Genomic DNA, 16,732 nt, shown 5'->3' on the forward strand with positions numbered 1-16,732 from the left:
CAGGAAGGCAGTGGCTAGGTCCTCCTTCTTCAGTGTTTCTTTCTCCTGGGTAGAAAAGTTGTAATATTGTCTGGCATTGGGCTGCAAGGCCCTGCCTGCCAGTAAGGACACTCTTCCCTTCTGTCCAGGGCCCCAAGAAGGACTCGGGTCAATGGAGACAACCGCCTCTAGTTGTACCCCAGCCTCGTTGGAGAGCAGCAGGTGCTGTGCGCCTTGTAGAATGCCGCGAACTGGGTTCTTTGGAAGCAGCCCCCTGTGGCGGCCTTCCGGGTCTCGCAGCCTGAAGCCTGGATTCCAGCAGTGAATGCTAGACAGAAACCAAGCCATTAATGAGATGTTATTACTGTTTTGGGCCTCCATGCCCCAGCTCTGGATGAAGGCAAAAACTGTACTGTGTTTCGCATTAAGCACACACATCTGGCCCTGACTTCTGGAGATGGATCCTTCCATCTTGTGGGGCCAGGACCATGGCCGAAGCCCCTTGGAGAGAGAGGCTGCCTCAGCCAGTGGCACAGGAGACTCCAAGGAGCTACTGACATTCCTAAGAGTGGAGGAGGAGGAGGAGCCTTGCTGGGCCAGGGAAACAAAGTTTACATTGTCCTGTAGCTTTAAAACCACAGCTGGGCAGGGTGAGAAGCTAGATGCCCCTGCAGTTTGGCCCTGGAGCCAGGGCAGAGGAATGTAGGGCCTGCATGGAGAAGGGTTCTGCCCTGCCTGAGGAGGAGGACACAGCACAAGGGCACATTGCCCATGGCTGGGAACATGACCCAGCCTGAAAGATACAGGGGATCATGTTAAAAATAGCAGTATTATTTTTCGTCTCAATGGTATTGTAACTAAGTTATTTACTCCTCCTGCTCCTCACCCCTGTAGGGAAACCTTGGAGAGGAGAGTGGCAGGTGGGCTGCCTGCTGTGTTAAGAGGACTTAGTTTGTGATGTAAGGCACTGTCAGGAATGGGGGGCGGGCCAGGGTGGGAAGAGAAGAAATAGCAGAGCCTATTTTGGTGAGGTTTTTTGTTTTTAAGTCAAAGAAGACTCAGTATGCTTTCCCTGAGGAATGAAAAAGGGATTGAGGAGTTGCCTGACTCCTGGGTGGGTGGGGTACAGGCAGTTAGGTGCTGAATGAAGCTGCCATCCTTGCTGCAGCTTCTAACTGGTAAAAAGATCCAGGGATGGAGATGGGAAGGTTAGAAAGGCAGCCCTCACCTCTGAGGACAGAGGCCGGGGTCCAGGCCCGTGGGCGCAAAGGTGCCTCATAGCATAGCCAGCATTCAGCACACACAAACCTACTGCCCACATTTGGGCTCAGGGTTGGCCATTTGCTAGTTCTGCTGCCCTCTTAAGATCTGACTGCCAAATAAATCATCCTCATGTCCTTTTTCCTTTGACTTGTATGCTCTTTCGGGGGCTCAGGAAAGCCTGTTGCATGGGACATGCTCACTAGAAACAGTCGCCAGATGATTATTCTGCAGTAGAAGCAGGTAGGAAATTTCTGGAAATTTCTCAGGTTAAGCAGCAAGAGCTGTAACCCCTCCTCTGGGCTAACAGGAGTTGTGGGTCCACTCTCTCCTGCCCACCCTCTGAGGGTGTGTCTGAGCAGAGTACATCCTGCCTGGGTTCTTTGTGGCCAGCCAGTTTTGGTGGTGAGCTGGAAACAACCAGAGCCCCTTTCCAGTTCCACAGAAACCTCTCCTTTCAAAAATGTTGCATTCAGTTCGTTAACACTGCCAGGTGCCATTCTGATTGCCTCTAGGACTTGGCAGCTGAAATCTCTGGGCCCTTTCAACACAGTTGAAAGGCCCTTCTCTTCCTGAAGCTCTGTTTCCATAGTTGGCTGTGCTGGGATGGAACAAAAATGACGCCACACAAAAAATTTAAGATAGATCCGGTTCCGTGGATGACATGAACTGATGATAGCCAGTATCAAACAGCGATAGTGCTCAGGTTCTTGTGTGACTTTCTTTTACAGCTTCACAGTCCCAGTTCATAGAGAGGAGGGTGGCTTTTTCCCATACACAAGAAGGTGGTGGGTGGGAATTCACCTGGGCCCTCATGATCCATGTTTCCTCTCTAGGTTTTTATGGCCTGGAGAGAAAGGTTTCCTATCAGAGAAGGAAGAGGACTGTGTAGGCCCTTCTGTTAGGGCCCATCCACGTTGGTTAGGACGTCCTTGGCGTGTTTGTTAGTGTTGACCCTTTTAGTTTTCATCAATACGTATCTCTATTTGCTGAACAAGTGTCTTTCTGGAACACAACCTGGGGAACAGACAGCTCTGCCTTTCTTAAGGCAGCTTTGTAGACCTGAGGCTCACCTCTCTTGGGCTCTGTAAGACATTGCCTTTGCCTCACTGCAAATGTTTTGATTGTTCTTCCTAGTGGAAAACGTGCCAACTCTCAAGCAAATTTAAAGATCATTTTCACTTCAAGATTCCTCCAGACCTGACAAATGTTGATTGACCCAGAAGGCAGAGTGTTTGTTGGTGGGGAAGACCCTTACTTGGGGCCGAATGCTTTGGCATCAGGAGTTGTTTGCCCCATCCCATGCATGCAGGCCGTGTCCCTACAGTGCGACAGCTCAGGGTTATGACCTGTGGAGTCTCAACCCTAACAGCACATTAGCACCACTTGGGGAGCTTCTGAAAAATACTGGTACCCGGGGCCTTAGCATAGGTATTGTTCAAAACCTCTCAAGGTGATTTAAATGAGTAACAAGGGTTGAAAAACCCTGATTTTGGCAGCACAAACCAAAAGAGCAGGCAGGGCCGGGAGAGGGAAGTCAGTGGTACCAGAAGGTAGATGGGCTCCCTTGCAGGCTCCTTGTTCTCCTGCCATCACCAGTAGAACCTTCTGGCTGACAGACCAGGGACAAGTAGACTGGGTTCAAAGTGACAGACCTTTCACTTTCAACAGCTTTGGCTCAGCAGACATGTACACATACAAAGTAGAGCCTACAAGGTCAGGGGCATTCTGCCCCCGCCACAGGACTAAAGACTGCCCTGCGGGAAGATGGCAGGAGCAGTTTCTGACCTCAGTTGAGTATCTGTGGCCATGAGCAGAAAAGGCAGGGGTCTGCCTCCTGACCAAGCACATCTTGAACATCACCTGAGAGCTTGAACATCACTAAGGACCTAGACACTCACTTGTCTTTCAACTTGAGCCCATCACTCACCATGTGAGTTCTGTTGAGGGTGGGTAGAAAGCAAATAGGTTCAGGTTATCCCACCAGACTAACTCGGTGAATGAAAGGATCATGCCTTCTTCACATTTTAATTAAATGGATCAAGCACAGTCTCAGACTGCAACTCCTGTCTTCTCTGGGTACTTTAGTAATTCCCAGGGGACTTGTGCTTAGGGGTTAATCTAGGCATTCTGTTCCCTGCCTGGAGGAACCCCACAGCAACCCCCCTGGCTGGCCGCTCCTGCGAATTCCACCCATAGTATCCCAAGTGAGTCACTGCCTGAGTCTACCCACTACAGCATTCAGCTGATTGGCTTTGCCAGTTGCATGCCAGTTTGGTCTAGTTTCCAAGGACCTGGTTTTTGGGATTCAACACACACAGCTGCTTCCCCATGACATAAGCTGGACTCCTATTCTGGTGTCCAGAATCACTGCCTGGCTCCACTGTAGGTGATTTCATTTCAAAGGACCCTTTTTCCTTCTGTCCCAGGCCTTCAGGGCCACCCCAACAAAATTCAAATGCTTTGGGTCTTAGAAGCTGGGGCTTTAGTCTTTTTCCTCCAGAAAGCCCCTGGGTCCTTATGCATATTCCCTAACCCCCGACACCGCCCCAGCAAATGACAGGCTATGCTTTTCAGCACTCTCACAGGAAACAGAAAAGAACTTGCCAGTGTCCTCTCACCAGATGATACCAGGTTTGACTGTTTGCCTTTGTCTATTTAGCATAATTTCTAAAATATCATAGTTTTCTCATGTAGAAGCCAGTGTGGTGATCTCAGCAATGCAGAAGACAGTGAGTTGGAACTTCTCTGGTGAGCTGAGGGAAACTGCCCCACTCATCCACTGGAGTTTAAGATCCACAGAAGTGGGCAAGAACAAGTGAAATGTTTTTGGCTTTTTTCCTGACTCCCCCACAAAATAAGTCAGCAGATGTGAAATATATTTATGTTTTTATTTAGGAATAATCAAAAGGTTTGAAGTACCATTGAGGCCCATTTCAAATTGTACAAGCAATTTGTCCGTGTTCCCCTCCCTTATCCAAATCCACAGATACAAAATCTAGGAAATGTGCAATTTGCATCTTAGAAATAGCAGCATCCCCACAGGGGACCTCGTGAGGCCTGGAGATTCAGCCCCAAGAGGGCAACCCCACTCCTGCCTCAGCACGACCACAGTCCAAACCGAAGTTAAGTTCCATTTTTTTGTTAAAACGTTTACCCAGGGTAAAGAATTCCCATTCTACCCAAGGCTTAAGTGATAGAGTATGCTGTTTTCTCGGTTTGGTCTCTCACACCTGGCCATGGCAGGAGATGGGACCCTCTTGCAGAGTTTGGCTAAAGTTTCATTGTGCCTCAAAACAAACAAAAACAGGGCAGTTGCCTCTTACTTGTTTAGCACCAAGATGATCACCTTTTCAGCCATCTCTCCTGACAGCAGACTGCTCAACAGTCACTCCCCAGTCTTATTGCCCAGAAGTCCGGCCACAGGGAACAAGGCTTTGTGCTGAAGACCAAAATGCAAATGGGTGCTAGAAAACCAGGAATCAAGACCTTGTCAGGAGGCATCTACAGGCCTTTGGCAACCTCCCTGACTTCCACAAAGGCTGCCCTCAGTAAAACTCAATGAACAATGGCCAGCAGGGGAGAAAGGAAGGTGGGCGTGTTTTCTCTTTAATAACAATTATGGCACAATCTGACCCTCCTAACACTTCTGAACAAAGCAACTGCTCAGAAGCACAGCGGGAACCCTCTACACAGGGGTGACTGCTTCTCCCCTGGCCCCGACCCAGTCTAACCGAGAACAACCGGATTGCTGTGCTGGGTCCCTGCTGAGGAGTAGGGACTGGCGCTCCTCACTCCTGCTGACAATCTCATGTGGGGCTCTGGCCCTGTTCCAAGCAAACTGCAAGAACGAGACCAAACAGTATGGGCAGGAACCAGGGATGAGTGACAAGATCTCCCTAAACAAATTACAGGATTCATAGGTACCATGTAGATTTTTCTTTTAAATGTATTTCTACTCAGGTTTGATTCTTGGGAAAGACCAAGCACTTGTAGCTCTCTATTCAGTGACTAAACAACCTGACATTTCACTTTTAACTCCAGTCACATTAAGTTTTTTTTTTTTTTTTGAGACGGAGTTTCGCTCTGTCGCCCAGGCTGGAGTGCAGTGGCACGATCTCAGCTCACTGCAACCTCCACCTCCCGGGTTCAAGTGATTCTCCTTCCTCAGCCTCCTGAGTAGCTGGGATTACAGGCGCGCACCACCACGCCCGGCTAATTTTTGTATTTTTAGTAGAAACGGGGTTTCACCATGCCGATCAGGCTGGTCTCGAACTCCTGACCTCAGGTGATCCGCCTCCCTTGGCCTCCCAAAGTGCTGGGATTACAGGTGTGAGCCACTGCGCCCAGCCAAGTCACGTTAATTTTGAATCATCCACTTACGGAAAGGAACAGAAGTTAAAAAGCATTAACCAAGAAAAACTATTCATTAACACATACAGGTGCTCATGTGTGTGTGTGCACGCGCACATGAACACACGTTTCAAGCCAGTCTCCTGAAGGAAGAGGCACTAATGGCAGGTAAATGCTCAGGCTCCTCTCAGTACCCTGGGGCTCACCGCCTATCCAAGTGGACAGCAGGGAAGGTGCCTAGAGTCCCCACCAGAGCGGCTGCCTTCCTCCCTTCGCTCAGCTGCCAGAGCAGCCACGAAAGCCAAATTCTCAGGGCTGTGGAAGCTTTGGACCAGCAACAACAAGCTAGTACCTATATGTTCTTTATCATCCTCAAAGTCCTGCGAACCCAAAGATAGAACTTTCAGAAATTGAGGAAGGGGGTGCTTTCCCCTGTCCTTGTCCATATGGTAACCAGGGTCTGCCTAGTCTCATCCCCAGCCTCTGGGTTCCCTCCCCTGCTCTAGACTTCAGGGCAGTTAGAATGGATGACTCTGCTGGATCTAGAGCTAAATAGAAACTTCTTTGCCATAGAAACTTCTCTGTTGAAGGACTGCGTCCCCATTCAAAGAGGTCAGATTTGTGGGCAGGCAAGAGCTCAGGAATGAAGAACCAAAAAGGAGGCTCTCAACCCCTCTCCAAGGCCAGACGCTCTCTGTACTCCCATTAACTTCACAACCAAGTGCAGACGCTCGGTGAGTTCAGAGACCACTTGGTTAGCCCTGCCCCACCCCTCCTGGTGTGACCTGGCACTGGGAACACACAGATTGCAGCAGAAACCTGTTGGTTCCATTTGCACTCAGAGCAAACCAAGCAGCACCTTGATTGCCACTTTTCCTCCAGCCACTCTGTCAAAATCAAAACTGGTTGCCTCACCAGCCCTGGTGTGGCATGGCCCAACCATGTCCCTGCCGCCCCACTTAAATGGCCAGAGAAAACTACATGGTGGGTAGATGAGGTTGAAGCCTTGCTTGGGGAAGGGACTTGAGCACAGGAGAAAGGCTTGAGCTCCACAACTGCCCATTTGCTCAGACAATGGAGCTTTTCTGAGATCAAGTGCTCCCCAAACTACATGGGAGTAGCCCCCCGTGGTCTGGGCAGGCTGGCTGAGAGAGGTCTGTGCTCTCAGGTAAAAGGAGAGAAGGAAGCTGGGTCAAGAGACCCTGAAGAGGAGGGTCCGTGTCTGGAGTGAGGGGAACTGAGCCCTGCTGGCTACCTGACCTGGGTGGGCTGCTGGCTTTGCCCTGGAAGACTTGACTATGTGGGCCTTCATGTGTCTAGAGGATTTTTCTTCTCCAGCATATAACTACCTTGAGAATGGATGTGATATGTGAAAATTTAAATTTAATACAAAAGCACATCTGCAAATGGTGAGTCAAACTGGTGAAATCTCCCAGGTAAACTCTGAGCAAGAAAAAAGAGAAGATGACTTTAGGAAAATCCTAAACGAGGTTTGGTTTTAAAATTTTCTTCTTGGCTGGCTCTCCTCTCCTGCAAGTTGCCTTTATCCACTTGGGGTGTGATATCTGAACTGAAAAAGCTGCACCAATCTGAGGATATTGGTCCAAAAAGAGACAAGAGACCACGAGGCTCAAGCAGAGAGCATCCACACAGCATCCAACCAGAAAGGCCAGTGTCCTTCCTCCATGAAAGGCAGCCAGGGACAGATGTCCCAGAGCCAGGAGAGAGAGGGAGAGAACACAGGACCTGCCCCTAGGCCACTGACTGAGCAGGATAAAACCCACAAGGGCACATCTCAGGCTACGGAATAGAGAGATTTCCTGGTGGGACGGCCTCCCAAGGCTAGCTGGAGATGAGACCACTAGTACATGTGTGAGCCCGCAAGGCACTACCCAATGTTCTGTCCAACTTCCTCCTTGTGCTACTAGAGAGCACAGTGTGGAGTCCTTGTGTCAAGGTGCTTTGGTCCACCTGAACAGCCACCTGTCACTCAGCCAAGAGAAAGGAGCTTTAAGTTGTACAATCACTACCAAACCCCAAGGCCCTGGCAAGCCATCCAACTAGGGCGTTCTTTTTCAGGAACCCAAGATTCTCAAAAATGACACTCCTCCCCTCCCAAAATAAAAAAGCTCCTTTATAGTCAAAAACGAAAACAAGTAATCAAAATATACAAAGCATATGTATCAAATTTAAATTTCCTTTATCAGAATGATCATCTGGTTTCACCTTTGAGAACTCGATCTACAACCCCATGTAAAAAACAAATGGGTACAAGACATCAGCAACAAAAAAACACTAAAAGATGATTTTACTATCTCTGACGAGTCCAACTGCATACAGAGAAAAGGGATAAGATTAGCCACTTTTTATAGGCTTTTTCTTCAGGAGAGACTAACCTCACCCAACTCTCAACTCTGCAGCCCACAAATGCCTTCTACTGAAGGCAACAACACAATTTAACCCTTAGGCAGTGTGCAAAACCACAGTGAGCTGTCCTGTGACAGGGCTACATACCTGGCTGCTGCCATCCCACATCCCCCACTGCCACTGGGCTAGTGTGGGTGTGTCTCTGTGCACGACTGGCTGGATTCAGGGTTTTGCCCCCAAACCCTTGAGTACCTCCTACAATGTCCCTTTAAGCACCTGCGTGATGACTGCCTCCCTCATCATCGCTTTTGATCATCTTTCAAGGATAAGGTCCAGAGCATACTCACTCACTCTCATCCAACAGCAGAGGAAGAAGGATCTGTCCAGACTGCTGGGCTCCTTACATGGGCATTCTTGCCTTTTGTAGTGTAGCCCTGGCTGTTGGGCAGGGCTAACATCTATAAGAAAAACATACCAGGGCAGGCAGCACTGTACTTTTCCACCTGAAAGATGAGCTAGTGCCCATGGCTGGGTCACTGTAGGTCCTGCATGAACTTGTCCACCAACTGTGTTTTGCTGTTTGGGTTGTAAATTAACCGTGAATACAAGTAACCAAGAAAATCCTCTCCACAGACCAACTCTTCAGCCAGTGCATGCAGGGCTCTGGAGGTGATGCCAGCAGGATCTGGAGGTGAGGCACTGGGTGGTTTCTCAGACACCCGGAGATGGCTTCAGCCTGGGCCGCCCCAGCTGCCTAGTGCACTGGTGTCCCTCCAACACAGGCTACTCCCCCAACACCCATGTGCCACCAAGTTTCTCAACTGCACACGCCAGATGCGCGTTTTACGAGAATCAAATGAGTATTTATACTGTATATGTGTGTGTGTATATATATATATATAAATTAATCTGCACGTATATAAACACTAAAAGGAGAAATTCCAAGTGTCTGTTCTCTGAAGGAAAGCAATCACTCGCCATTCTTGGCAATTCCTCAAAGGTTTTTGAGACCAAACATCTTTACTCCCCAAATTAAGAATACAAAAATAGGCTGCAAAACTTGCCAAGTACTCACAAGTCCCTGTTTGAGACAAATAAGATGTGGTCCCTATTGGGACAGGGAGGGCAGAAGATGACACTTTAGAAGAACATGATTTTGGTTTCAAAAGCAAGACCTCTCCTGGAAGGCAGAAGGGGCCACCGCCATGCTTGTCCTTGGAGCCACATGAGCACGGTGCCCTGCCAGGTCCAGTTCCCTGGGTAGGGGAGAAGGACGGTCCCTAAAACACCACCAGTGCTTCTTGCCCAAAGCCCTTGCCCTCTCTCTGGGGTCTTCTAGCACTGTCACTCTGCCCAGCCCAGGAGGTGTCTGTGCCCACGAAGCCTGGTACTTGTGGCTTGGCACTCTGGGAAGCAGGTGGTTTCTAAGAAATGAGCGGAGCTACAGGTGGACAGGTCTTTAGTTCGCCCCTCTTTACCAGCTACTCTCAGAGCAACCGGTCTTGGGGAAATTGAGGATTTACCATTTAGAACAGCTCTGTAAGCAAGTTTTCTAATTTTCAAAGGCACCATTTCCTGTAATTTTCTCAATTCAAAAAAGGACATGAGGGTTAGGCTAAAGTAGAGTTCTTGTTTCCAAGTTTGGGGACATAAATATAAAACTTTAAAAGCATCCTCACAAGGACCAGTGATGCCCAGCACCCTTGGGCATGCATCCAGCACACCGGCCAGACCCTGGGGTGGGAGCCACGGGCACTCTGGGTGTTCTGCCAGGGATCTCTGCATGCAAGTCTTTGTGCTAAAGACCACCCTACCTCTGATAATTCCAAGAAGTCAACAAATCCCTCCAGCCTTCACCCTTACTAATGGGCCAGTGTGTTATTCCTTCCCAAACCATAGGAGGCTCTGAAATGAGTGTGGAGAAAGGGCTCTGAAAACCGCAGTGGTCAAAGCTTCAGGCTGTGGCTATAGATTTCCACTTACGTCCCTACCCCATGTCTTTTTTCCATCTTTCTCTCACTCCAAACATGTCTAGATTAAAAAAAAAATGCAGGCACATAGGTCAGCACATTAGGCTTAACAACAAATGTTTCTTTAGTTGATCTGATAACTGAAAAGTTATGGTCCATGATTCAAACTCCCATGAAAAAGCAGAATTACGGTAACAACTAAAGAGAATGGTAAAGCATCCAACGCTAATCACATTGCCAGTCCATTTTTTGAACTGAGGGTTACAGCAGGTTCTGCACTGAGTAGCCCACAAGGCAAAGCAAGCCTGACATGAAACGTAGCCGGTCATCACTTAATGCAGCAGAGATCTCTTCAAAGGTACTGCTTCCTTGAGGAACACAAAGGGGGCACAAAGGGGTTCCAGACGTAGCTTTGTGCCTATAACTTCCCTGCCTGACTGTGGAAGGTGAGGGGCACCTGTGACCCAGCAATCCCCAGAGAACAGACACAGGTCATTTTTAGAGATGACGTAACTGACAATGCACTGCTTGGCTAACCAAAGTTTCTACGTAATGACAGTGTTGATAATCTGATGTTTTATTTAACATATAGAGGTGGATGTATATGTTAAAAGCTTGATTCTGTGTCTATGAATATGACTATGAACTCTGAACTATTTTATCCATTGGAAGGTAAAGGAAAGGTCCTACATTGTGGGAGGAAGAACTGATGAGAACCCCATCTTGCTTGCTGCTTGCTTGGTGGTGGGCAGGCCGAGGGTAGCGGCAGGCTCTGGGCTGTCTGCGAGGATTCTGGAAGCTCTCCCAGGTGCCCAGCAGCCGGGCATGGGAACGGCATGTGGCAGCAGAGAGTCGGGTTTGGCTCTTCCACGTGGCAGGCGGTTTCCCAGACTGGCCAGTCCTTCACATTAATCAGATCAAATTCAGTCTGTTTCTGAGAAGAAAACACATGCCTGTCACTCTACGGCAGCTGCCACCACCTGCCCCCCAGGCAGCCTGGTCCTTGCTATACCAGGGTGGCATCACTGGCTTTGAGGACCTCTTAATTCCATGAGCAATGAATGGCCTTCTGCCACCCACTCCCCCACCCTCCAGCCTGAGGGAATGTGGGTTAAGGACAGGATGCTGGCTCAACCTTGTAAGGCCATCAGACTCTCTGAGAGACCCTGCTAAACCCTAGGCCTAGCAGCAGGAGCAGTGGTTTGGCCTCTCCAGGCCCACTAAATCCCCCTAGCTCCCCAGGCTTCCGCCACCACCGTCTCTGGAGTCCTGTCCTAAAATGCTTCATCCTGCCCTCTCCTTCCAGGCTCTCCAGAACATACTGTTCCAATATAATAGCAGCTGGGTCTAGTTCTGATATGTATTCTACTGATGTCTTCACTTCATTTGTAACTTGCAACCCTAACATCAAAGTCAAAGTAAGGCTGATATCAGAGAGGTTCATCATCTGTGATTCATAAAGAAATGGTCCTTAATTGCAGCTGGCTGAGAAAGCCATGAGAAACCAGGTACAGATAAACAGATTGGCCCTTCCTGTACCCACAGTTACCTGTCTCAGACAGAAGAGAACAATGCCAATGGCAATGGCCACCCCCTGCCATTCCTGCTCTGTCCCACAAAGGACAGCAACATGTCACTTTGTGTTGGATTTAGTAGCTGAGGGGAGCCAATGCTTGTCATTCAAATCCACTCATCACATTTCCATGTTGACTTTAAGAAAAAAACCATGGTAAAATATAAATAACATAAAATTCACCATTACGACAATTTTAAGTGTACAATTCAGTAGCATTAAGTACATTTACAATGTTATAAAACCATCACTCTATTTCCAGCAATTTTTCATCATCCTAAACAGAAATTATATATCCATTAAACAACAACTCCCCATGTCCTCCACCCCTTAGGCCCTGGTAACCTCTATTTTACCTTCTATCGCTATGCCTTTGCCTATTTTAGATACCTCATGTAAGTTGAATGGTACAATATTTGTCTTTTTGTGTCTTGACATCTCACTTAGCAAAAATGTTTTCAAGGTCCATCCATGTTGTAGGATATATCAGAATTTTATTCCTTTTTTGGCTGAATAATATCTTACTGTATGTACACACACATTTTCTTTATTTATCTGGTGGTAAGTACTTGTTTCCGCCTTTTGGCTACTGTGAATAATGCCACTAAGAACACTGATGTACATGCATATGTGAGTCCCTGTTTTCAGTCCTTGGGGCGTATACCTAGGAGTGAAATTGCTGGATCACATGGTAATATTCTATATTCACCTTCTTGAAGAACCACAAAGTCGTTTCCCAAGGAGCTGTACCATTTTATATTCCCACCAGCAATGCACAAGGGATCCAGTTTCTCCACATCCTCCCAACACGTTGTTTTCTCTGGGTGTGTGTTTGTAACAGCCATCTTAAGTGTGAAGTGGTATCACGCTGTGGTTTTGATTTGCATTTCCCTAATGCCAAAGGTTCGTCTTTTCATGTACTTATTGGCCATTTGTATATTTTCCTATGAGAAATGTCTAAATCATTTGCCCGTTTTTGAATTGGTTTTGTTGTTCAGTTTTAGGAGTTCTATACATATTCTGAATATAAATCTCTTATCAGATGTATGATTTTCAGCTCTTTTCTCCCATTCTGTGGGTTCTTTCATTCTTTTAACAGTGTTCTTTGAAACACAAAAGTTTTAGATTTTGACGTAATCCAAATTATTATTTTCTTTTGTTGCCTATGCTTTGAGTGTCATACATAAGAAATCATTGCCTGGCCAGATGGGGTGGCTTGCACCTGTAATCTCAGCACTTTGGGAGGTTGGGGAGGAATGCTTGAAGTCAGGAGTTCAAGACCAGCCTGGGCAACATAGCAAGATCCTGTCTACACACACACCCACACACAAAATAGTAATAATAAAATTAGCCAGGTGTGCACACTTGTAATCCTAGCTACTCAGGAGGCTAAGGTGGGATGACTGCTTGAGCCCAGGAGTTTGAAACTGCAGTAGGTTTGATTGTACCACTGCACTCCAGCAACAGAGCAAGAACCTGTCTCAAAAAAAAAAAAAAAAAAAAAAAAGTAATAATTGCCTAATCAAAAATCTGGAAGGATTCTATTTTCTTCTAAGTATTTTATAGCTTTAGCTTTTTTTAGTTCTTTGATCTATTTTAAGTAAATTTCTGTATATAGTACAAGGTAAGAGTATAATTTCATACTTTTGCATGTATATATCCAGTTTCCCAGCACCTTTTGGTGAAAAGACTGTCTTTTCCCATTGAATGGTCTTTGCACCCCTGTCAAAAATCAATTGACCATTACGTGGGGATTTCTGGGCTTTTTATTTTATTCCATTGGTTTTGTATGTCTCTCCTTATGCCAGTACCACACTGTTTTGATTACTGTAGCTTTGTAGTACAATTTGAAATCAAGTGAGTGTGACTCCTTCAACTTTGTTTTTTCTCAGTTTGTCTATTTGGGGTCCCCTGAGATTCTATATAAACTTTAGGATGGATTATTCTTTTATAATTGATAGTTTACATATTTATGGGGTACATGTGAATATTTTTTACATGCACAGAATGTGTAATGATCAAGTCAGCATATTTAGGGTATCCATCACCTTAGTATTTATTATTTCTGTGTGTTGGTAATATTTCAAGTCCTCTATTCTAGCTACTTTGAAATATACAATATGTTGTTGCTAACCATAGTCACACTAGTCTGCTATTTAACATTAGACTTTGTTTCTTCTATCTACTATAAGTCTATACCCATTTACCAACCTCTTTTCATTTCCCCCTTCTACTCTCACACCCTTCCCAACCTGTGCTATCTATCATTCTATTCTCTATCTCCATGAAATCAAGATTTTTAGCTGCCACATATGAGTAAGAACGTGTATTTGTCTTTCTGTGCCTGGGATATTCCAATGAACATAATGACCTCCAGTTCTATTATTTTTTGTCTTTTTAATAATAGCCATTCTAACTGGGATAAAATGACATCTCATTGTGGTTTTGATTTGTATTTCCCTTTTGATTTGTGATGTTGAGTGTTCTTTAATATACCTATTGGCCATGTGTATGTCTTCTTTTGTGAATTGTCTATTCATGTCTTTTGTCCCCCCACCCACCCCCACCTTTTTTTTTTTTTTTTGGACACAGGATCTCGCTCTGTAACCCAGGCTCTGGAATGCAGTGGCACAACCACGGCTCACTGCAGTCTCAACCTCCTGGGCTCAACTGATCCCCCCACTTCAGCCTCCTGAGTAGCTGGGACTACAGGTATGTGCCACTACACCCGACTAATTTTTGTAGAGATGGGGTTTCACCATGTTGCCCAGGCTGGTCTCAAACTCCTGGGCTCAAGTGATCCACCTACCTCGGCCTCCCAAAGTGTTGGGATTATAGGTGTTAGCCTCTGTGCCCCACCTTTTGCCCACTTTTTAATATGATTTTTTGTTGAATTCCTTATATATTCTAGATATTAGTCCTTTGTTGGATGAATAGTTTTGCAAATATTTTCTCCCACTCAACATATTGTCTCTGTGCTGATTATTTCCTTTGCTATGCAGAAGATTTTTAATATAGTTCCCTTTGTCTATTTTTGTTTTAGTTGTGTTTTTGAGGTCTTAGCCATAAAATCGTTGCTCAGACCAATGTCCTGAAGTGTTCTGCACTGTTTTCTTCTAGTAGTTTCATAATTCAAGGTCTTATATTTAAATCTTTAATCTGTCTTAACTTTTGTATATGGTGAGAGATACAGGTCCAGTTTTATTCTTTTGCTTATGGATATCTAATTTTCCCAGCATCATTTATTGAAGAGGGTGTCCTTTCCTCATTGCATGTTCTTGGCACCTTTGTTGAAAATCAGCTGGCTGTAAATATGTGGCTTTATTTCTGGGTTCTATTTTCTTTTCCTTTGGTCTGTGGGTCTATTTTTATACCAATACCATGTTGTTTTGGTTACTATAGCCTTGTGATATATTTTGAAGTCAGGTAATGTGATGCCTACAGCTTTGTTCTTTTTGCTTAGGATTGCTTTGACTATTTTAGCTCTTTCGTGGTTCTGTACAAATTTTAGGGTTTTTTTCTACTCCTGTGAAAAAATCACATTGGTATTTTGATAGCAATTGCATTGAATCTGTAGATTGCTTTGGACAGTGTGGCCATTTTAATATTAATTTTTCCAATCCATAAGCTTGGGATGTCTTTCCATTTGTGTCCTCTTCAGTTTCTTTCATCAGTGTTTTACAGTTTTCCTTGCAGAGATCTTTCACTTCCTTGATTAAATTTATTCGTAAGTATCTTTTTTTATTTTTGGTAGCTATTGTAAATCAGATTACCTTCTTGATTTCTTTTTCAGCTATTTTATTATTGGTGTATAGAAACTCTGATTTTTGTACGTTAACTTTATATCCTGCCACTGTGCTGAATTTGCTTACCAGCTTTAAGAGTTTTGGTGGAGCATTTTTGGTTTTTCTAAGTATCAGATCATGTCATCTGCAAAAAGGGACAATTTTTCTCTTTTCCAATTTGGATGCCTTTTCTTTCTCTTGCCTGATTTCTCTGGCTAGAACTTCCAGTACTATGCTGAATAGGAGCGGTGAAAGTGGGCATCCTTGTCATGTTCCAGTTTTCAGAAGAAGGATTTTCAGCTTTTCCCCATTCAGTATGATGCTAGCTGTGGGTTTATTTATGGCCTTTACTATCTTCTTTCTATGCAGTTTTCTGAGTGTTTTTTTTTTATCATGAAGCAATGTTGAATTTTATCAAATGCTTTTTCTGTTTATTGAGATGACCACACGATTTTTGCTCTTCATTCTGTTGATGTGATGTATTGCATTAACTGAATGGTGTATGTTAAACCATCCTTGCATTATAATTTTTTGAGACAGAGTTTCGCTCTTGTAGCCCAGGCGGAAGCACAGGGGTGCAATCTTGTAGCCCAGGTGGAAGCACAGGGGTGCAATCTCGGCTCACTGCAACCTCTGCTTCCTGGGTTCAAGCAATTCTCCTGCCTCAGCCTCCTGAGTAGCTAGGATTACAGGCATGTGCCACCATGCCTGGCTAATTTTGTATTTTTAGAGATAGGGTTTCACCATGTTGGCCAGGCTGGTCTCAAGCTCCTGACCTCAGGTGATCTGCCCACCTTGACCTCCCAAAGTGCTGGAATTACAGGCATGAGCCACCATGCCCAGCCAAGGATTATTGATATGTGAGGTTTTGTTATTGTTATACTGTTGTTTTCTAGTTGTTTTATATATTTTTTTCCTTTTTCTTTTGTTTGGCATTGTACTCTGGTAGTTTTCTGTAGTGGTAGCATTTGAGTCTTTTCCTCATCTGTGTGTTTGCTTTGCCAGTGAGTTTTATACTTTTGTGTGTTTTACATAGTGTTAAATGTCATGTTTTCACTTCCATGTTTAGGACTCTTGTGAGCATTTCTTGTAGGGCCAGTCTAGTGGTGATCAATTCTCTCAGCTTTTGCCTGTCTTGGAAATACTTTATTTCTCCTTCATTTATGAAGGATAATTTTGCTAGACATAGTATCCTTGGCTTACTTTTTTTCCCCTTCAGCCCTGTCAACATATTATCTCATTTTCTCCTGATCTGTAAGGTTTCTGCTGAAATCCACTGTTAGTCTGATGGGGCTTCCTTTATAGTTGCTTACACACATTTCTCTTGCTGTCCTTAGAATTATCTGACTTTAGAGAGTCTGACTATAATGTGCCATAGAGAATACCTTTTTGCACTGTATCCATTTAGAGGCTATCAGGGCCTCCTATATCTAGATGTCTAAATC

The 16,732-nt window shown here is 45.4% G+C and overlaps 2 protein-coding genes across 28 annotated transcripts in view; one reads left to right on the forward strand and one right to left on the reverse strand.

Annotated features, from left to right (window-relative positions):
• Positions 1-3,288, forward strand: part of PLCG1 (phospholipase C gamma 1) — a 40,084-nt gene extending 36,796 nt beyond the window's left edge. For all 3 annotated transcript variants that reach the window (XM_005260438.3, NM_002660.3, NM_182811.2), the window contains one exon: positions 129-3,288. In XM_005260438.3, the coding sequence (XP_005260495.1) occupies positions 129-171 (43 nt within the window). In that variant the 3' untranslated portion in view covers positions 172-3,288. The remainder of the gene's footprint in view (positions 1-128) is intronic.
• ZHX3 (zinc fingers and homeoboxes 3) overlaps positions 4,117-16,732 on the reverse strand; it is a 139,277-nt gene continuing 126,661 nt past the window's right edge. For 16 of the 25 annotated variants that reach the window (NM_001384317.1, NM_001384325.1, NM_001384316.1 and 13 more), the window contains one exon: positions 4,117-10,863. In NM_001384317.1, the coding sequence (NP_001371246.1) occupies positions 10,853-10,863 (11 nt within the window). In that variant the 3' untranslated portion in view covers positions 4,117-10,852. Of the gene's footprint in view, positions 11,640-16,732 lie in introns of all 25 variants that reach the window. The other 9 variants (XM_047440036.1, XM_047440037.1, XM_047440039.1 and 6 more) reach the window with 1 other exon arrangement.

Source organism: Homo sapiens, chromosome 20 (genome assembly GCF_000001405.40).
Source record: "Homo sapiens chromosome 20, GRCh38.p14 Primary Assembly".
Lineage (NCBI taxonomy): Eukaryota > Metazoa > Chordata > Mammalia > Primates > Hominidae > Homo > Homo sapiens.